Source organism: Homo sapiens, chromosome X (genome assembly GCF_000001405.40).
Source record: "Homo sapiens chromosome X, GRCh38.p14 Primary Assembly".
Classification (NCBI taxonomy): domain Eukaryota; kingdom Metazoa; phylum Chordata; class Mammalia; order Primates; family Hominidae; genus Homo; species Homo sapiens.
Genome location: NC_000023.11, coordinates 152,881,357 through 152,903,132, shown reverse-complemented (window position 1 = coordinate 152,903,132; position 21,776 = coordinate 152,881,357). Strand labels below are relative to the sequence as shown.

The following is a 21,776-nucleotide window of genomic DNA, read 5'->3' as shown; positions in this document are numbered from 1 at the left end:
ACAGGCGTGAGCCACCGCACTCGGCCACTTTCTTTTACCCTCTTTCGCTCTCCCCTAGGAACACCCCCGCCTACACACACACCACTGCTGCCATCCATTCAGTCTTTGCCAGAGCAGGCCAGTGACAGGAAGTCACTCCTTCTTGCCCTTGACTAACATCAGCCAAAGCTAATTCCTTCTGTCCTAGATGCAGGTGATCACTAGTTAGGAGCAAAAGGAACAGAAAGAGCCCGCTGCCTCCCCACTTCCCCCAAAGCTCTGACTCCCTATCCTCCTTCTCCCCTCCCACAACCCTCTTTCTCATCTTTCTGCCCACTCTAGACCCAGAGTCCCCTCAACCCCACCCTTACCTCTAACACTGCCCCTATTTTTGGATAAGAATAAGGAAGTCCAGAGAGAAGAAAGCACTTGCCCAGGATCACACTGCCATGTATGCAACAAGCATTTTCAGAGCCCTAACCGCCAGGCTGGGTGCTGGGGGGATCGGCCTAGCGGAATGTTGCCAGAGCACTGCATTTCCCAAGGAGGTGCCCAGGCTCAGGCCCAAAGGAATGAAAGCATGAGTAAGGGATCGCTGGCACAAGTGGTGAAGCAAGTCCTGGTTTGGGGTTTTGGGTTTTATTTTTATTTTTATTTTTATTTCAGTTTAAAGCAGGCACTGCCTGATGTAAGCATTTTCACCAGGGATGCCGGTTCTTGTGATTAAAATCCTTGTGCTTGCTCTCTCCATAGCAACTCTTCGCCACATCAAGCTCTCTGGGAAACTGACCTAGTCATCACAAAGTGGCGTGCTGAGCCAAAGATCACAGGGACTAGACCAAGGGGCCCGGACTGGGTGCCCGAGCTGGGCCTACAGATGGGGCCAAGGCCAGGGACCACCGCCAGCAACCACCAGCAGCCTAGGGCTTGCCCACTGGCCCCAGAGGCTATGTCTCCTCTCTGACCCAGGGCGTGGCTTCAGAGCTCTGCCGCCATCTCAGCAGCAGCAGCCCCAAGGGCAGCTCTGCGGGAAGAGGGATGGCTCAGCGGGCGTTAATGAGTGGGTGAGGAATTGCTCTCTTGGCTGGCCTGGACCCACCTCCCTGCTCCAGGCAGGCACCCTCCCAGTTCCTAGCTCCCTTTTGAGGTGAGAAATGAGCACACTCCCAACAGGAAAAGCCTAGACCGTGTTTCTGAAAGTGGCCTCTGGGACCCTTCGGCAGTCAAATTCCCTGGGAGACACGCTTAAGCTGCAGATTCCTTCCTGCATTCCACCTCCGACATTGAGAGTGATACCCACAGGGCCTCTTGTCTTTTCCTTTTCCAGTCTCTTCTCCACTCAGACCTGTCCCTCCCACTTTGCTGTCAGTTCTCAGTCATTTCTGTGCCCCAGCGCCCAACACAGAAAGTGATCAAGAAAACACCTGCCAAATGCATCAATATGTGTCCCTGAGAGAAGTTAATCTGGCTCAGTTTCTAATCAATGGCACTTGAGCAAGTCCCTCTCTGTGCCTCAGTTTCCCTTTGGAAAAATGAACTGACAACAGCCCTGCCCACCCTCTGACCCATCCAAAGGCTACAAGTGAAGAAAGCTAATGAGAAATGTGGCAAAATGTTAATAGCGGGAATTCAGATAAGGCTTCAGGAGTTCTCTGCACGATTCGTACAACTTTTCTATGAGTTTTAAATCAATTCAAGGTAAAAAAAAAAAAAATTAAAGATAAAAAGTAACAACAGTGCTGGCATGGTGGCACTCGCCTGTAGTGCCAGCTACTCGGGAGGCTGAGGCACGAGGATCGCTTGAGCCCAGGAGTTGGAGGCTGCGGTGTGCTATGATCATGCCTGTGACTAGCCACTGTACACCAGCCTGGGTGACAAGGCGAGACCCCAGCTCTAACAAAAAAAAAAAAAAAAAGTGAAAACAAAAAAGAAAGCGAGTCAGACTTTAGTAGGCATGAGAAATCACCCTAAGAATTAAGTGTTCTTTAGTGAGTCACTTTAAATGTGGGTAGATACTGTTTGCATCATCAGCAGTAATTTCTAAACTGTTTTCCTCAGGTAGGGGCCCACATCCCAGTCAGCATCTCTCTCTCCACCTAGTCCCACTTCACTCCTTGCCACCACAGCCCTGAAGGAGGGCACCATAGTCCTGGCTCAGCTACCTTCCGTGACAGAGCACCTCTGTGCCAGGAACCTAGCACTTGCAGGCACCCAGTGCAGCAGGTGCTCCTGGCTTTAGCCACCCTTCAGTACTGGTGAGAAAACAGAGGCCTCAAGGGGTTGCATGAAGGGCCGAACTTTGCACAACTGGATGGTGGCTGAGCTGGGGTTTGAACCCAGGCTGACCTCTGAGCCATTCTCTTAACCACTAGGCTATGAAGGTGCCACCCTCACCTGCCACACACCTGACCAGGTGTGGGACAGTTCAGCCCCTCCTCCTCTTCCCGGCCTTTGGAAGCAATGATGGCAACCTCTCCTGAGCATCTCTCAGGGACTGGTCCCCTGATGGCACTGCCCTTGTCTTGGCATCAGCCGGTTCACTATGGGCACAGTGGTAACGAATGCAAAGTCCCTGGACTGACCCTAAACATGAGAGCCCAAAGGCCCGGACTGCAAGGGGTTGCCGCACTGGAGAGCAGCTCTCCTCTCTGGCACTGGTCCTGTCCCATGCCGCCAGGGACTGGCAGTGGGGGCAGCCTCAGGGCTCAGCAACAGAAGGAAAGCTTGTGTTACATGTGACCTGGCACCTTATAAGTTGTGGCTTGAAGCAAAACCCGCACCAAAGGGGGCAGTCACCTGTGGAAGCTTGAGTAGGGAAGGAGGAAGGCAGGCTTCTGGCTTCCAGAATGCACCGAGCCAGAATTGGGGGAGTTTGCTTGGCATGCAACTGAAGACAGTTCAGGGAACAAGTGCCGATGCCTATCGTGGCCAGGTCCTGGGCCCAGTGCTAGGGACCCAGAGTCCCTGCCCTGCCAGATCTCAGGAGGCCTTGGGGACACTGGGCAGGAAGACAAGGAGCACAAGTCAGGCTGAGGGAGGCTGAGCTGAGGCGCTGGCTGCCCCTGGCATCACTGGCCTCACGTGGGAAAGGCTTTTTCTGGAGTCTGGACTTGAGCTGAGCAGGAAGTGAGGTGGACAAGCACTGCTGCCATTTGGATTCAGATGGCAACTTCTTACTGACAGATGGCCTCTCTGTCACTCCTCAGGGCAAGGCATGGAGCTGATTTCTCTGTGGGCCCCCATATGCAGGAGCTCAGCAAGAAGTGGTTTATGATCTTTCAGGAGTAACGGGGAGGTTAGACTCCAGCAGCTCCAAAGGACGTGCGGGCCTTGACCTGGTGGCTGCCGAGCTCCTCCTCCTGCTTCCAAGCCCTTCGCCTCCAGGAAGCCTTCCCTGATCTTCCCAGCCAGGGGTGCCTCGCTGCTCCAGGACTGAGGAACCCCTAATGTTTTCATGCTACTCGGAGCTGCAACATCCTAAGTGGTCCTGGGCCACCTCTGTTGCTTGAGTCATGAGTGTCCAGAGGATGGAAATGAACAGATCTTGAGCACCTGCTGCGTGTCTGGCCCTGCACTGAGTGCCTTCCATCAGCTCCACACGGCTGAATGCACAGCATCCAGCCAGGGGCTGGGAATTGCTGGAAGGAGGGGCAGGTGAGAGGGATCTGTTCCTTCCCATCCTGAAGTGGCCTGGGAGCGATGAGGGGAACAGCGGAGGCACCAAGGCCTGCCAGAAGGCTGGCCCCTCATCTGTGCATCTGTGTCTTGGCCACTTGCTGGCCTCTGAGCTGCCCCTTGTTTTTCAGATGAGGAGCGGAGGCCCTGGGAAGGCAGGACCTCTGCAGCTCTGTTCAGGCCTATCAACCTGTGCACCCCTGCCTCCCGCCCCCAGCCAGGTACGACAGCCAGAAGTCTGAAGGGCCATGAGACCAAGGCAGGACTTAGTCCAGGTACTGAAGCCTCAAGCACTGCTGGATGGGGTGTGAGAGGCCCTCTCTCGGGGCTCACAGCTTTGGGGCCTCCCATGATGCCAAGGCTTCGTGCCGACGGCTCAGCAAGAACACAACTCCTACCATGCCTCAGATGTCCCAAAGCCGGGACACACCCACCACCTACTTTATCTGAGTCCCCAGCAGCCCTGGGTGGGAGGCAGCTTGACGTGTCACCCCCTTAAACCGACAGAGTACCCAGGTGTCCCCAGCTCAGAAGTGGCAGATCAGGCAGGAGCACCTGAGCTTTCGGCCTTTTTGTAAGGCAAGGTATCCCTCTGCCTTTCCAAAGAGGACAGACTCTTGGCTCCCTCTGCCCCCATCAAAACAATCCAGCCACAGAGCTGGTGCAGTGCCGATCCTGTCGATAACACCCAGTGACACCTGATTCGGCGCCTTCTGTCTGAGTGTGAGCAGCCACCATCCTCATGGCCCTCCCCAAGATTGCCCTGTACCCAGCACATGCACCTCACAGGCCCCAGGGCGATTGAGGGGATCCTCTGGGTGAGCCAGCCTCTGGGTCTCAGTTTCCTCATCTATAAAATGGGCACAGGGGGACGGAGGGATATGAGATTCCCTGATTCTTAAAGGCCTGCAGTCAACTCTCAGAGCATCCTGGCCCCTCGCCGTTTACTAACAATTAAACCGTGTCTTTCCTAAAGGGCAAGACAGAGGGATCAGGCTGGCAAGGGGGACACTTGCCTCTGTAGGGGACGCTGGCCTCCTCTGCCTGTCAGTCTTTTCACTCACAGCGAAAACCAGAAATCCACTGACTCCCGGGGGGAACCCGAAGAGAGATGCTTGGAGCTGGTAAGGGTTATGGATGGGGAAACTGAGGCCCTGACTTGTCCCCAGCTGGGCACGGACTGGGTGCCCCCCACTGCCTCCAAGCAGGGCCGCATCCAATGGCGACTCGACAGCCCTACCTGGCACCGGTGCCCGGCTCGTGGGGCGGGTGGAGGGTCGGGCAGTCGCAGGGCGCGGGCTCCCTCGGGTGGACGGCGCCCGGCCGGGCCGGGCCGGGCCGGGGAGGCAGGCGCGGGGCGCGGGGCGCGGTGCACAGCGGGGAGCGCGCAGGGAGGCGAGGAGGCGCGGACTGGGCTCCGCCCGCAGGAGAACAAACAGGTTTTCTCCGGCCGCCCGGAGCCTCGCCCCTCGCCCCTCCCCTCGGCCGGCCCCTTCCTCTGCCCCTCCTGGGGTAGGTAGAGGCGCCTGGCACATTCCGCACATTCTCCCGCCAGCGTCCTCCGCCCGCCCGCCCCTTCTCGGCCCCGCCCCGCGGGGCTGCTGGAGAAATCAAGTCTGGGGCTCCCCTTGTCGAGCACGGGGCGAGCTCCAGAAGGCTCTGCCGTGATGGAAAACTTCCAGGCAAATTCCTCCGGGCCCGTGGCCCCCAGGCCGGGAAGCCTCCGCCACGTGAAGGGCCCCCGCTCCTAGTTGCGCGATCTGGCCCCGGCACAGGGCCAACGACTTCCACAGATGCTGTCGGGTTAATTCAGTCGAGAACTACCGTTCCTAGATCCATTTTACAGATGGAGATCCCAGACAGGGGCGGGGAGGGGGGCGGGGGGCTGGCGGCTGAGATCATCCAGGAAGTCCTGCAGGCAGGAAAGGAGGAGAAGAGTGAGGGAGCCGCTCATCGTGGAAGGCCATCCTGGGACGGACCCGGGGCTCACAAGGCACAGCAAACGGGGCTATCTCCCAGGCTGGGCGACGAGATACAGCCAGACTCCCAGAGCCAATGCGGTTTGATGTACCTGTGTCACGCGTTGGTGCTCACCGAGTGCTTTATTGTGTGCAAGGCCCTGGGCTGGGGCTAAGGATGGAGAGAGCATGGAGGAAAGACCCCTCACCCCACGGCCTCCCAAACAGGGAGACAATTAAGCCAGCCCAAGAAATGGCATGGACTTGGCCAGGAGTTGGCCTACCAGGGTGGTAGGCTCAAAAGAATGGACCAGCTGCTTCTCCTTCATCAAGGCCTGCCAATGTGGTGTTTCCATGGCCCTCCAGTCCACCCACTTCTCCCTGTGCCTGCTGCCACCACCCTAGTCCAGACCTGGCCCCGAAGACCAGCCTCCTTGCTGGTGTCCCCCTGCCTCTGGTCTTGCCTTCCTTTCCCTCAGTCTCTACACGGAGGTCAGGTTAAAAGTTCACGTGTGTCAATATGATCAGGTGCTCTCCTGCTTGCAACTCCTCCATGGCTTCCCATTGCTCTCAGGGTAAAAGCCAGACTCCTTGAGACGACCTATCCCTGCAGGTCCAGCCACTCTTCCCTTTGTTCAATACATTACAGCCACACTGGCCTTTTTCCATTGCCTTCTGAATACATCACATGGCGCTCACCTTGGGGTGTTTGCTCCTGCTCCTCGGACTCCCTAAAATGCTCTTCATCCCCGTCGGGCTAGTGAGCTCTTAGTCATTCTTCAAGCCTCCACCCAGTGTCCGGAAAGCCTCCCCTGCCTGCCACCCAGTCGAGCTGATCACTTCCTTCTGTGCACCCCTTAGTTCCCTCAGATGACATCAATCCAGCATAGTGGCTGTCACCCTCTATTGTTCTAGATCCTGAGCTCTGGGAGGGCAGGGCCCCTTCTGATTCATCACTGGGTCACGGAGACCAGCACAGGGCATCCGAAGAATTTGCAGAAGGAAGTGATGGATGGGTGAGTGAGGCTGTGGAAGCTGTCCTCATCCTTTTCTTCTTGGGGTTCATGAGATAGGGAGAAGGCGACCCTGTGTGTGCTTAGGGGGTTGTATATAAAGTCACTTCTGTTCATGTCCGTCTCTTGCCAACAAGCATTTTTCTGCTTCCAATATTGTATGCCCCTGTCTGGTGGCCAGCAACTAACACCTCCCCTCCTCCACTGTGGCTACTGGTGGCCATGGATTTGGCTTGGCATCTTACCTCCTAAACATGTTTACTGTATGACTTAGGCTGTGTCATACTCTTTGTCTGGGTCCCAGTCCTCTTCAAGAGCCCCTAGTTTGAAAGGGTAGAAGGTAGAAGACATCATGATGGGTGAGATGTAGGGCAAGGAAGAGGGAAAAGGCAAACTTGTTCAAGAGCCCTGAGTCAGGGGTGGGGGGCCCAGCTGGAGAGCATGAGCAAATGTGGTGTCCAACGGCACGGCCAGCAAGTGAGGACTGCCCCAGGCTGGGCCGCCCCAGGGCCTCAAGCTCTTCCCATGTCCCAGGTGACTCAGTCTCTGCCCAGGCCCGATCTGTCACGACTGCTCCAGCCAAAGAGATCAGCCTTCCCTGAACCCCTCCCTCCCTGCCAGGCTGCCAGGCCCTGCAGCTGATCTTGCCTGCAAACGGGTTTGACTTGAATGGTAACTGCCCTGCCCTGCCCTGCCCACCTGTCCATTGCCCCAACAGTCTTCCACTTCCACGCCTGCCAGGGCACCTCTAGTCACCTCAGCCAGGCTTCAGGCACCTGCTGGCTTCTTCAGCCTCTTCAAGCACCAGACATGCCCAAATGACATGTACCCAGATAGACCAAGTGCTCAAATACCACCAGGACGCTGCACAAGATGCTCCCTTTGTTTGGAATGACATTTCCTCCCCAGGGACACCAGGTGGCCTCCACTTTCTCTCAGCAGTAACATTATCTCCTTCATGAACCTTCCCTTAGACCTCCCTCAAGTTCTAGGCCAAGGCTGTGGTGGCTGCTGCCTGCCTCCAGGCTGGGCTCTGTCCCTACCTGGCCTGAGCTTGGCCCTATCCTTTCCTATTCACATCTCTTGCACTTTTCCACCCATCCGCAGCTCCAAGACAGGCCAGCTCCCACCCCCTGGCTCTGGCAGAGTTCTCCTGAAGTCCCTCCAGCTTAGGCAGCAGTGCCACCTCCAGGGGACTGGACAGTCTCTTCCCACCAACAAGCAGGCCCTCAGCAAGGCTCTAAGTGAGAGGTAGGGGCTTCAGGGTGGGGCCAGGCTGGGCTGTCTGGGCAGGCAAGAGGCTGAAAGGTAGAGGCAGGGAGTAGCAGGTGGTGAGCCCTGTGCTGGAGAAGCCATAGCTCACAAGCAGGCCGTGGAGGCAGCGTCTCTGGGAGGCTGCATCTAAGCAATGAGATGGGTAGCACGGCAGGTGGCTGCTGGGAAAGAACTGGCCAGCAGCACTCCTCAGCTCCAGGGGAGGCCCCATTCTGATCTCCAGGGCTGGGAAGAGAACTCAAGCAAGGTGATCTAGCCCCAGAGTTCCCAGGCTAGGAGGTGGGCACAGTGGCTCACGCCTGTAATCCCAGCATTTTGGGAGGCCAAGGAGAGAAGACCGCTTGAGCTCAGGAGTTCAAGACCAGCCTGAGCGATATGGTGAGACCCCGTCTCTACAAAAAATACAGAAAACAAAAAGAGTTACCAGGCTAGAGGGGGAGAAAGAGGGGTTGGGCCCTGAAAGCTGTCAGGCCGCAAAGCTCCCCCAGGCAGTGTCCTCAGCTAGAGGGGACTGAAGACAGGCAGGCAACCTCAACACTTCAGTTGTACAAATGGGAAAACAGAGGCCCACAGAGGGACAAGATGTTGCCAGGATTACACAGCTAGTCTGAGGCAGAGCTGGGCTTAGAACCTGGGGTTCCAGCTGCTCTGGATGGAGCCCCTGCCCAGCTGGAGAGAAGCTGGGGTGCTCAGGTTCATGTGCGGGGAGGGCTGGGCTCCTGCTTGATCCCTAATCCCCTCCTTCCCGGGGCCCGCCCTGCCACCTCATCCTCTTAAGCTCTTCAACCGGTTTACACTTGCTGGGTGACTCTGCTGACTCCAAGCAGGGTGGATGCCCTGGAGGCAGGGGTCCCCAGGTGTGATTGCAGGTAGGATGGGTCCTTTGAGCCCCGAACCCGTGAGGCCAGGCCCTTGTGTTTGTAACCAGCTCTCCTGCTAGGAGCTGGTCCAGCCTCTCAGCATGTGGAGTGGCTGCTCCTCTCCCCCTGTTCTCAGCCTGCACTCCAAGCTACGGGGTTGTGGTCCCCCTCTCTGGAACACACACACATTCTTACTTGCCCCACTGCACTGCCACCCCAACCCTGGCCAGAGACCAGTCAGACCCTGTCCCGGCCTGTTGCGGCTCCCAGTTTGGGGGAGGAGGCAGCCCAGTTCTACTCCAAGGGACAGCAGCCATGCCTGGGGATTGTTTGCTGTGTGAACAGTGGTCTCATTGGGAGCAGTGGCCTTGTCACAAAGCAAGGAGAGAGGTGGTCTGACATCTGCCACTCCTGTAGCCTGGATCCCCACTGCCGTTTGAATCTACTGGTTCGAATGAGCCCAGGAAACTCTCAGCCATCAGTCTTGGTCTGTGTGACCTGATGCCCCACAACACAGGCTCTGCCTTTTGTCTGTGGCTCTGAAGCAGCCCCAGGCCAGGCCTCCTGAGCACGAGTGCGCGAGTGGAGCCAAGGCCTCGCTGGCAGATACTCCCTGCATGCCCTGAAGAATGGCTTTTTGCTGCTTTAAGAATCATCCACAGGTCGGAAAAAGAATGTTCTAATTGGAAAACCTCCCCGCCATGGTTTTCCGGAGTTTTAGTACAGTTGGCCGGCAGGGAGGCTCCTGGGATAAGGAGGAAGGGAAGCCATGAGAAGGAGACAGTGGGCTCCCTGCCCAGCGCCCCCTCATCCCCCCAAGCTCAGCTCAGCCACTGCCGGCTAGGGGCCGTGCCGAGGGCCCCCGCGGTCCTCAGCCTGGAGACTCTGGAGGCTGCCTGGCCTCAGCTGGGAGCTCCTCCCCCAGAGCTGGGCCCAACCCCGCCCCCCAGGGGCCCTGCTGCTGCCCCAGAAGCAGCCCAGGCTCCTAGGACCCTCTGGCAGGGCTGGTGCTCAGTGGGCATTGTGAGTGTGCGCCTGGAAGAGGAAAGGTGTGGAAGCTGCCACATGCTCAAGAAATGGGAAGGTCAGAGTCAGTGTTGGGGTCTGTGAGCACCCCCCGCCCAGACCTCTCTGGGGCCCCAGGCTGGGAGGTCTGGCAGAGAGATGCAGGCTGCAGGTGAACGCTAACTTCCGAGCAGCTAGATCTGTCCTGCGAGGGAGGGAGCTCCGACTCTGGGGCCCTGCTAAGCCTGGCCTGGCTAAACCACTGGCTGAGGGAGCTGAAACTACATCAACCAGAGGGTATGTCTGGCTCTGAGAGTTGCGGATTTGTTTCTTTCTGTCTTTCTTTCTTTTTTTTCAGTCTGCCACCCAGGCTGGAGTGCAGTGGCACAATTAAGGCACGCTGCAGCCTCAACATCCTGGGCTCAAGCAATCCTCCCATCTCAGCCTGCCTAGTAGCTGGGACTGCAGGCACGCACCGTCATGCCTGGCTAATTTTTTGTAGAGATGAGGTTTCACCGTCTTGCTCAGGCTGATCTTGAACTCCTGGTCTCAATCAACTCATCTGACTTGGCCCCCCAAAGTGCTTATGCCTGGGATTACAGGCATAAGCCACCATGCCCAGCCATGTTCCTTTCGGCTGGGCACTGCCCTTGGCTTGGGAAATGCCCACCTGGGAAGAGGAAATGCAGTGGATCCCTAAAACACCATTGCAAATCCAAGTCCTCTTCACACAGGAGAGGAAAGGTTACTGGGTTTCACCTCTTAAAGGGTGTATGCTTCTTTATTAGTTTTTCCCAGAAACCTCCCTGGGTGCTTAGCTGCCTTGATTTCCTCATGGAGAGCAGCCTTTGGAGATTAGAGGGGAGAACAGCTCAGAGGGTGCCCCTTTGTTCAACTGAGCAGGACTGTGGTCCCCGACCTTTGGAGTCAGACCTGCTGCTTTTCTCCTTCTTCTGCCCACGCTGGTGCTGGTCAGAGCCTCACTTGATGAAAACTCTAATTTTCTCAGCATGGGGGAAGGGGCTGGCTCTCATCAAAAAGGATTGGACCAGCCTGGCTGGGGGATGCATTTGGCTCCTGTTGATTGCATTTGGCCCAAGTAACCTGTACTTGGAGACCTTGAACTCGACCAAATAACTCTAGCCTTCCTGGCATTGTGCCGTCTGTTCCTCCTCTCCTTCTTCCCTGACCTGTCCCATCCCAGGCCTTGGGGACTGCAGCTCTGTAACCTGTAACCAGCACATGTCTCTAGAAATCCACTGATTACTGCAGGTGCCACTGGCCACATGTGGCTATTTAAATTTCAGTGAATTACAAAGGAATAAAATAGGAAATTCTGCTCCTCAGTCACACTGGCCACATTTCAAGTACTCAATAGCCCCATGTGGCCAGTGGCTACTGTGTTGGACAGCACAGATAGTGGACATGTCCATCATCACAGAAAGTTCTAGGATTGCACCACCCCGTATGCTGCCCTTCTTGGAGGGAGCTATCCACTTCCTCCTAAACTGAAGCCAGGCACCCTCCCGGCAGCTCAATCCAGAGGAGGCTCTTCCTTCTCCCACACCCCAGCTACCTCAGAATAGTCCAGTTTGCCATTGGATGAAAACCTCCCCGCTTTGAGGCCCAGGCCAACTGGCAACACCATCCCCCACCTGACATTCAGGCAGGTCTTTGCCCTGGATGTGAGAAAGTGACTGGGAGGGTGAGGGTGAGAGCAGTGAGGTGTGGTAGTGAGTGTGTGACTTGAGCATCCATGCTTGTGGCTTAGCTATCCCCAACCCTCAGGCTCCCCAGGCATCTCCCAAGACCCTGTCAGCTCCACCACAGCCGCTTCTTCCCACAGGTGCAGCCTGCCTGCTGTTGCTTCCTCCAGAATAGAGAATGCAGGCTTTCCAACTTCTTGCCCCAACCTCCTCTCTTTCCAGCAGGCTCGTTCAACCACTTCTGTGACAACTATCTTTCAAGCTCCCAACTGTTGGCTGCTCCACTTTCTATCCATCCATTAGTCCTTTCCTCTCTTCATTTCCCTCCCTATCCAGCTTACTCAACCGCTGTCTTGTGAACATCCTAATCTTCTCACCCTACTGTCTCTTTGTCACCTCCACCTGATGATAATGGCATCAAATCTGGACAAAGCTAAATGTCTATATTCTTCATGCTTGCCCCAAGGCAAAGAACCATGCTGGCAGACGTCACGCAACTGTGCAGAATGGTGCCAATATAAACTTCTGGATTCCACTCCTTCTCCCCTTCATAGACTCTTCCCTCTTTATAATTATCCCTTTCTCTTCTACATCATAAAAATGTCTGTTTCATTTGGAGCTTTCCCATCAACATAAAAAAAAAAAAAAAAGAATCTCACCTGACCACACTCCCACCTCTAGTTACTGCCCCATCTCTCCACTTTGCTATTGAGCAAAACTCCTCAAAAGAGTTGTCTAGACTCACTGTCTCTCCTTCTCCTCCCATTCTCTCATAAACTCACCCGGATCAGGACTTCAACCCTACCACTCCCTTCACATCATTCTTGTCACCAGTCATCTCCATGTTGCTAAACCCAGTGTTCACATTTCTGCCTTCACTTACCCCGTGGCCACAGTTGATCACTCCACTTTCCCCTTCTGGAAAAACTTGCTTCTCTTGGCTTCCCTGACACCCACTTATCTGGAGGCATGAAGGCTATGAGCACAGACTCTGGAACTGGACTGCGTGCAAATCCCAGCTGTGCCAATTAATAGCTGTGTGACCTTGGGCACGTTACTTGCCCTCTCTGAGTTTCCATTTCTTACCTGTACAATAGAGATGAGAGTGCCAGCATCTACCTTCATAGGTTGTTGTGAGATGACATGGGATGGCGTGCATAAAGTGCTTGGAATGGAGTTTGTTACATGGTGGTGCTCAGTGAATGTTTACTATTGCTACTTTTGTTACTTGAAATCACCACATGAATGTCTGAGTCAATCCAAATGAAACATGTTCAAAACAAACTCTTGTGCCACCATCCTTCACCTTCCAAACCTCTCCTCCCTCAGTTTTCTTCATCATCAAAGGCACCTCCCAAGGCCTAGGTGTTTAACTGATCTTTCCCTCGTCTCCCATGTCCAATCCAGCAGCCAGTCCTGATTGCAGCTCCAAACCATCCACTTCCACTGCCACTATCCTGGGACACAGTAGTGTCCCCGATCACCTCCTTCCCAGTCTCCTGGCTTCTGCGCTTGACTCCTGCATCTACTTTCTGCAAAGCAGCCAGAGCCATCTTCCCCTCTGCCCTGCTTGGGTGATAAGGTGACTCCATGTCCAGCAGTCCAGGCTAGAAACAGGGGCACCATCTGAGACTCCTCATTCCCTCTGCCATCCAAGTCTAGTACCTGCTATGGCTCCAGCCTCTTCACGCTCTAAGCTCCTGTCATATGGAAGCCATACTGGACTTCCTGCTGATTCCCAACATAGGCCTCCATTCTGTCTCTAGAACTTAGTGCTGACTGCGGTCCCTCGCACTGGTTAACTGCTACTATGCTCATGTCTGTTCAGAGGTCATTGCCTTCACAAGAAGTCATCCCTAACCACCAAGACCCAGCTAAGTGTCTCTTCCACCGCCTTCCACCCTAGCACTTATTACCCTGCAGGGTCGCTGTCTCCTGTGTCTCCTCTCCCTTCCTCCTGGATGTAGGAAACACACCTCATGCTAGTATGATGCCTGAGTAGGCACACAGGAAGCAGCTGCCAAATTGATGAACGGAGGGATAGAGTGTAGTTTCAAATGCAGTGTGTGATCAAGGTGGCATTTTGAATCTGTGGATTAAAAGTGTATCATTCAAGAGATGATGTTGGAATAACTGGCCATTTGGAAAAAGAAGCTAGATTTCCTACCTCACTCTCCACACCAAAATAAACTCCAGATGGCTCAGAAATTTAATGTAAAAAAAATGAAACCATAAAAGTATGAGAAAGAATCCTGGGGTGGGGACAGCCTTTCTAAGTATGTCATGAAAACCAGAAACCATAAAAGATGGAGAAATTAAAAACTTCTGTATGGCAAAACCCACCATAACTGTCATTAGACAAATGACAAATGAGGAAGAGTTATTTGAACTGCATATGACAGCGAAAGGCTTAATCTTCCGAAAATAAAAAAGGACTCCTTTTAAAGCAACCCAGTAGGAAAATCAGCAAAGGACCAAGGAAGTGAACAGATAATCACAAAAGAAGATTTGCGGGTCACCAATTAGCATATGAAGGAAATGCAAAGAAAGTCAACTGTTTCCACCCCTGCCTCAGGTATGTAAAACTTAAAACAAATCTGCAAAACCCTGGGGTACCTGGCGTGTGGGAAAATGGGCACTCTTCTGCCCCAGGGGCTCTGAGAGTGGGAGGATAAGTCAGGGCAACCTTCTGGGTGGTGATCTAAAAATATGCCACAAAATGAATGATGAGGTATCCCTTGGACTCAACAATGCTAACATTTTAAAATTCTTTTTATTATCTGACATACAAAAATAGTACATATATATATTATATTAAATGAGATGCATATAAACATCTTCATCCCCTACCTCCACAGCACCATTATCTACACATTCTGCCCCATCCTGATACAAGAGAACGATGTGTCCTGAAGCAGATGAAAGGTCAGGTTTTCTGCTTGTGCCCTAAATCCCATTTGTTGCCTACCCAGGAACATCTTGCTAACATTTCGCCCTTTCTCCTGCACCATCAATTATTCCCTCTTGACCGGATCATTCTGCTCAGCATGCACACATGCTGGAATTCTTCCCACCATTTTAAAAAACCTTTCTCTTGACCCCATACACCTTTCTAGCTACTGTCCATTCATTCCCCTTCTTCCCTTTACATCAACAATCCTTCAGAGAATTCTCTACACTTTCTCAGAGTCCTCTTCCTCCCTTCTCTTTCACTCCCATCACTACACAGAAATGGCTCTTGTCAAGGTCATCAACCCCCTCTATGTTGCTAAATCCAATGATCAGTTTTCAGTTTGCATTTTACTGGACATGTCAGCAGCATTTAACATTCCCAGATGTGGAGTGAGTTTATCGGGATGTAACTGCATCATAAGTTCAGAATACCCTAAGTAGAAAATGCATTTAATACACTTAACCTACCAAACATCATAGCTTTGCCCGGCCTACCTTAAATGTGCTCAGAATGCTTACACTAGCCTATAGTTGGGCAAAATCATTTAACATGAAACCTACGTTATAATAAAGTGTTCAATATCTCATGTAACTTATTGAATACTGCACTGAAAGTGAAAAACAGAATAGTTGTATGGGACTTCAAGTTTGGTTTCCACTGAATGTGTATCGCTTTCACATCATGGTAGAGTGGAAAAATCGTAAGTCGGGCCATTGTTAAGTCATGAACCATCTATATAATATATCCTGGGGCAGAATTGCTGGGTCACAGGGTATGTGCATGTTCAATCTGACAGCAGAACACTGACTTTCCTGCCTAAACAATTCCCAGTGCTACATATCCTTGCCAACACTTGGTGTTGTCAGATGTGTTCTATTTTCTCAATGCAGTGGATAGAAAGTGTCAGCTCAGTGTGGTTTGGGGTTGTATTGCCAGTACCCTCGCATCTAGGCATTTATCCTCAGGTAGTAACTGCATCAGGGGGAGATAACTAAGTACCTGTATGCTCATTGCAACATTATTCATGATATTTTAAAAAACTCGTTACAAGATAAGTTTCTATCAGAAGATCCATTCCAAAGTTATAACAGGATACTATGTGGCCAATCGAGGTGTTGATTTTAGATCTCTAGTTAGGGGCATGAAAAATGCCAATAATATATTGTTGAATGAAAGAGAGAAATAGCAGTTTGCATCAAAGCAAGTTACATGGCAGCGTAAATAGTGTGATTTCACTTCTGTCAAATTGCCCAAAGGCTTTGAGAAACACCTTCCAGAGTGTCAACACTTGCTATCTTCTAAGATATGGATTTTGAGAGCTGTCTTTTCCTTGTTTTTATTTTTTATGTTTTATTTTGTGTTTTCTGTAGTGTTTGACTTTTTAAAAAATGGGCATATACTTTTTTCCTTTAAAGAAAAGCAATTTGCAAAAAATGCATTCTTATATTTGTTACATTTGCATATGTATAAAAATTATATTAAAGGTTTCACATGAAACTGATCATAACTGCTGCCTCTAGGAAGTGGGTTTGTGTGGGCTGACTGGGAAGATGCTTTGAGTTTTCTCTTTATTCCTTTCTGTACTCTTTGAATTTTTATGGCAGTGTATTACTTTCGTAATAAAAAAGCACTAATAAAAACAACAACAGAAAAGAGTTATTCTTAACACTTAAGCCAGCCCTGCCAGCCCCTGCTGCTGTGGGCCCAGCCCACTCAGCCATTCTGAGGCCCCCAAGTACTTCCCAACAAGCCCGTTCAATCTGTGCCAGACCTCCTCTGGCTGGGGAGCTTTCAAGCTGTTGAGCCCGTGCCAGTCACTGGGCTGCCCAGGAGAGAGTTCCTTCTGCTTCTGGGTGGTGCCTTGAGCCAAGAGCAATGTGTCTTCCCTATAAAGCAGGTGGGAAGGAGAAGCCAGCCCCCCAGAAGGCCCAGAGAAACCTGAGGAGCACAAGCAAGGAGCCAAAGGGGTGTCAGAGGCCAAAAAACTCCAATAGCAAACAACCTATGTTTCCAGTGGAGCATTTTTAAGTCTGTAAAGGTGAGAGCTAGAAGGAAATAAAGACTGCAAAATCAGAAAGGCGTAGCGACACTGAACGTGAACTTATCTACTACACACTTGTATGGCAGAATCAGGGGCCACTCTGAACTGAGAAAGAATTAATTTTACCTAAAACAAACAAAGACAAACAAAGACTTCACTCAGGTGAAGGGACACAGGCAGGTGCTGCTGTACTTGGTGTCAGTGTAGAGAGGTTGTTTCTCAAAGACCACCGGAAGAAAATGCTTCCTCCCCATGGCAGCCCTTCTGAGCTACTGGGGACTGCCAAGCCAACGCACGTGGCTCAGTCCCTTCATGAGCACATCATGTGGTGGTGACTGGGTTTTCCTCTGTCTACCTGACAGCCCGTGAGCTCTAGAAGGCAGAAACCAGCTTATATTCCTCCCTGAGTCTTAGGTAACAGGTATGGGGGCTGGCACGCACCAAATGCTCAGTGAGCATTGGAGGGAACAGACGATGATCGTTTCCAGGACAGAAAGAAACCAGAGATGCCATTTGCAAGTGCCCATGTTTCTAAACTCAAGGTTTAGAACTAGATGTCTGCCAGTATTGCCACCCAATCTGCAATGGCCCAGTATGCCAGGCTCGGGGCGGGGCTGTGGGGTGGCAGGCGAAGCTTGCTCATGCTGTGTCTCCAAATTATGGAGGTGACAAGTCCTTTGGGTTCTAGACTAAGGCAGCCTCTTTGGACAAGTTTGTCTTTTCCAAGAGGGTAGCTTTGGAGGAGGGAACATGATGGCATTTAGCCATTCTTAACGTTTGGATGAAGACAATATTTGTTCACAAGTACGAACCTGGTAAATACCTGGTATATTTTAAAGACAAGTTAAATCGTGTTTTTACATGACATTTTAAAAAGTCACACATATTATTTGTTTTAAAATATCAGAATCGTAGTGGATTGTATGAAGTCACTCCTGCAGACACTTCCTGAAGCCCTACTCCCTGCTCCCTCCCCACGATACAGGGCTTCCAGTGGCCCATACTTGTGTCCTGAGCACCTGCTTTGAGCCAGGCCTGGACCCTGAGGGGTTCAGTCTGGTAAAAAGCCACCTAGTACTGAGGCAAAAACTGGTAGCCAGAGGATGGAGGAGTAGCGGTGATGGGAGAGGGAGTCAGAGGAGGGGCAGAGGGTGTTGACGGAAAAATAGAAAGAGATGGTCCTCAGAAGAATAGACTAGAAGGGGAGCCTGAATTCTGCAGAGACCATACCCATTTAGAGGGGGATTCCAAGATCTGTTGAGCCTCAGGCCTCGCCTACAGCTTGCATCCTGGCATGGTGAAATGATGTCTACCTTGGGTGGATGAGAGCTCCTCCAGTCACAGGTATTAGCCAGGGCTATGCCTACAGGGCAGTTAAGGAGGCTGCTAGATGTTTAGAAAAAGAGGGAAGGAAGGAGAGATGGGGATGGAGAGGAAAGGAGGAAATTTCTTGTCAGTGAAAGTCAACCATCAGATTGAAGTTGTTTGTAGTTTATTCTCTACTTGTAAAAGTTGGACTTGGTTTTTTTCCAGACAAATAAGTCTTTATTCCTTTCTTATATTTCCCCAGAGGAAAAGGCAGAGGAAGGAGAGAGTGTCATCATGTACTTCAAAAGACTAGAAGGAAGAGATAAGAATCTCAAATGCTATAAAGTCAACCCCAAGACCCAAGGGGGCTCCTGCTCAGCTTGGGAAAAAGGGGTGGGAGCAGGAGAATGGCGCAGGCAGGCCCTTCCCTCCCTACATGGTCAAGATTCCACATAAAGTGCAGTAAACATGGACTCATATTTATCCACCTTCTATTAGCTCATCTTGTGGCCACTTTGATGTAGGTTTCTTGCACCAGCAGAAATGTTCCTACGTGGCTGGGATATACTTTCATCTCCCCGTTCTCTGGCCTCCACTCCCATCTTCGACAAGGGAGACCTCTCCTCCTAAGACTGGAGAGTTAAACTGTTTGCCCCAGCCCCAAATTGAAGGACTGGTGTTTGGTGTGCATAATAGCCAGGAATGAGCTTTGCCCAAAGAGAGTCTGGGCTGGGAAGGAGAGACAGAGGGGCCTGCTGGCCTCAGTTACTTGCACAGATCTTTTATTCAGGAATTAGAGACTCCACGGGTAACAGTTGGGGGAAGGGAATAGGATAGAGATCTGATTTTCACTTGGGAGACAGTGAGGCTGTGGGGCCTGTATGGCAACCGAGTGGATAAGATGAGCTGACACCAGGACACCACAGGGGAGGAGCTCAGAGGAACCGTCCAGGGTAGAGGCCAAGCTTGTAGGGGCAGAGGCAGCTAGCGATGGCCCCTTGAGGCCACGGGAGGGCATGACATCACCTAGGCAGTATGGGAATGGTTGAGTGTGTGTTGGATGATCAGAGAAGGCCAGGAAGGAGCTCCAACCAGCTCCCCTCAAAGAGATCCCCCACGCAAAAAGAGCCTACAGGAAGGTGTCAGGAGTCACCTTTGTTAAGATGCCTCTGAGGCAAGGAGCAGAAACCTACTCAAGTCTCAAAGAGCCTTCAAAAGGGCTCATGTATTTCCCCCACTCCTCCCCCTTCCCATGAGACAGCCAGTGTCCTTTGATTTTCCCAAACAGGGTAGGGCGGCAGGAGGGTCTCAGAGCAGCCAGGGGCTCAGGGAAGAGTGAAACTGAGTCTGAGATTGACATTTTAATCTGGTCTGAGTTTTAACAACTGCAAGACACCAGTAACTTCGGAAACTTGCTCAAGATTCTGTTAATAGATGGGCAAGGCCGATTTGACAAAGCTCAGCTGAAGGGGGTGATTTGAGGGTCCATGTTGACTTAATGCTTTTTATGTCAGGTGCTGTCCCAAGCGCTCTACTGAAAACATCTCATTCCATCCTTGCTACAGCCCTATGACGTAAATACTATTATTATCCCCATTTTACAGATGAGGACTCTATGGCACGGAAGGGCTAGTGAGTGGTGGAGCTGGGATTTGGACCTAGGCTGTCTTACTCTAGAGCCCGGACTCTTAACTTCCAAGATTATTACCCCACTGGGTTCAAATTGCTCAGTTAGCCACTTACATGCGGCATCGGGGACTGTTCGTGGGAGCTGTGCTAACAATGCTAATAATAAAGCTAATATTTGTTGAGGGCTTACTACATGCTAGGTATGATGCACAGTGCTTCTGTCAGTAGGTGTCCTGAGAAAACCCTCCTTGAGGTCTTGATCCTCTTCTTTCTGCCACTTTGTAAGGAGGCTTTCTTCCTTTGGTCAACATTAAATTATTGGGATCCTGCAGGCCTTAGATGTAAGAGAGGCTGATGCAACCTGCTGCTTATGCCAGAGTTTAAACATCTGTGCAAAATGACACATTTGAAAGAAAACATGTGATTGGCTTTTAGCAGGATATTTCTAGAAGGATCAGAGGATGACTTGAACTTGTCAGCCTCGCTTTGAATGTTCGGCTGCTTGCAAGGAGAGCAAGGACTTCACTCCACCTGTCCCCAGCAGGAAACGCCCCACGGCTGTCTTTCTTTCAGGGAGATGTGAGCTCAGCCTGGCTGCTCCTGTTGACCCTGCTGAGATCCTGGCAGATGTGTGGCTCCTTCTGGGGCTGAGCGAGGCAGAGCTGTGTTTCCTGGACTCAGGCTGCCCAAAGGATATCTTCCCTTGCTCCCCACTGGCTGCTGCCCTTACCACCATGCGGCACCCTGCATGGTGGGCAAAGGAGCTGTGACTCTTCCCTCCCCTTTGGGCTAGGGAGGCTATGTGGTTCACGGGAGGATGCTGAACCTCAGAGCAGGGAGATCATTTGCCCAAGGCCATACAGCTGGAAAGTGGGTGAGCCTAGATACCAGTGCAAGTCAGCTGGAACCTTTCAGAGACGTGAGTCCACTAGGTCAACTAACCTGCCCCAGGAGACAGCTCACATTTTTAACAGGTATCCCTGCAGACTCAGGTGTGCTCCAAGGACTGAGGACTACTGCTTCTGAGTGAGGTGGACACAGTGAGAAAGGGAGTTTTAGGAGAGAGATGTAGGGGTGGAACCAAATCAGTTGTGGGCCCAGGATGCTTCCTCAAGCTGGTTTCTCAGCTTTGGGTCCTGGGGCATGAAAGTACCAAGGATAATAAAGATATGAAGACATTCAAGGATGAGGACATTGAATTAAAGTGCATTTCATTCAAAAGTTTCACTGTTGGCCTGCCACTGTTCTCAACTGAATTTCATCATTTCCATTAAGATGAGTTGGCCTGGCAAGACTTGGTTTGCAATTGCAGTGTATACCAACATGAACTCGGTCATGGCATAAGATCCTTTGAATACTTGGCTAAGATTTTGTAGAGTTTTTTCTTTTTTAAATCTATGTTCATGATTGAGATTAGACTCATTTTCCTCCTCCATTCCATTCCCATTAGTGAGGGTTCCCTCTTCGCCTAGTCTGCGGTGAATGGCTAGTGAATTTACTATTGAAACCATTTCGGTCTTGTTTGGGAGATGGAGGCATGTATCAGACAGGGTTCCATCAGAGAAAGAAAACCAGTAGGAGATACATATTAAGAGATCTATGAGAAAGAATTGGCTTATGTGGTGGTGGGGGCTGACTGGGGAGGTCCAAAATCCATAAGGCAGGTCGTCAGGAAGGGCATGCAGGAACTCTTGGACGTGGGCCCAAGCTGCAATCCACAGACAGAATTTCTTCTTCCTCAGGGCAGTCTCAGCTTTGCTCTTAAATCCTTTCAACTGATTGGCTGAGGCTTGCACAGGTGATCTAGGACAATCTCCATACTTAAAGTCAATTATGAAAGACTTTAATCACATCTGCAAACCACCTTCACAACACCACCTAGATAAGTGCTTGATTGATAACTGGGGTCTGAACTGTTTTAACTCATTAACACTTACAACAGCAAATCAGAGAGTTATCAAGTGTTTGAGAAGCTAAAGATACACTAGCACCACAGGGCAGGGCAGTAGGAATAGGATTGGCCTTTCAACAAAAAGTGCTGGGTTAATTGGGTTCCCATATGGGAAAAAAAAATGTCTATGAATCCTTACTACACATCATATAAAAAAATCAGTTCCACACAAACTGCAGACCTAAATGTGAAAGGTAAAACAATAAAGCTTTTAGAAGAAAAACATAGGAGAGTGTCTTTGTGAACTGGCAACAGCCAAAGATTTCTTAAGTGTGACACGAAAAGTGCTGAGTGTGACCAAAAATGTGATAAATTGAACCATATTAAAGTGAGAAACTTCTGTTCATCAAAACACACTGTTAAGAAAGTGAAAGGATACTCAACATGTGGGAGATCTTCACCATACACATCTTCAACAAAACC

General features: G+C 51.4%; 1 protein-coding gene across 48 annotated transcripts in view, besides 2 other annotated features; it reads right to left on the bottom strand.

The window, feature by feature from the left end:
- ZNF185 (zinc finger protein 185 with LIM domain) overlaps positions 1 to 5,066 on the bottom strand; it is a 75,415-nt gene extending 70,349 nt beyond the window's left edge. For all 48 annotated transcript variants that reach the window (XM_017029822.3, XM_047442496.1, XM_017029821.2 and 45 more), the window contains exon 1: positions 4,895 to 5,066. The gene's annotated coding sequence lies outside the window, so the exon portion shown is untranslated. The remainder of the gene's footprint in view (positions 1 to 4,894) is intronic.
- Positions 923 to 1,445: an enhancer, noted in NCBI's record as "H3K4me1 hESC enhancer chrX:152070232-152070754 (GRCh37/hg19 assembly coordinates)". NCBI's record gives its function as "activates a minimal SCP1, AML or CMV promoter by ChIP-STARR-seq in naive H9 embryonic stem cells {active_cell/tissue: H9 hESC(naive)}" and the evidence as "EXISTENCE:reporter gene assay evidence [ECO:0000049][PMID:30033119]".
- Positions 5,314 to 5,814: an enhancer, noted in NCBI's record as "H3K4me1 hESC enhancer chrX:152065863-152066363 (GRCh37/hg19 assembly coordinates)". NCBI's record gives its function as "activates a minimal SCP1, AML or CMV promoter by ChIP-STARR-seq in primed H9 embryonic stem cells {active_cell/tissue: H9 hESC(primed)}" and the evidence as "EXISTENCE:reporter gene assay evidence [ECO:0000049][PMID:30033119]".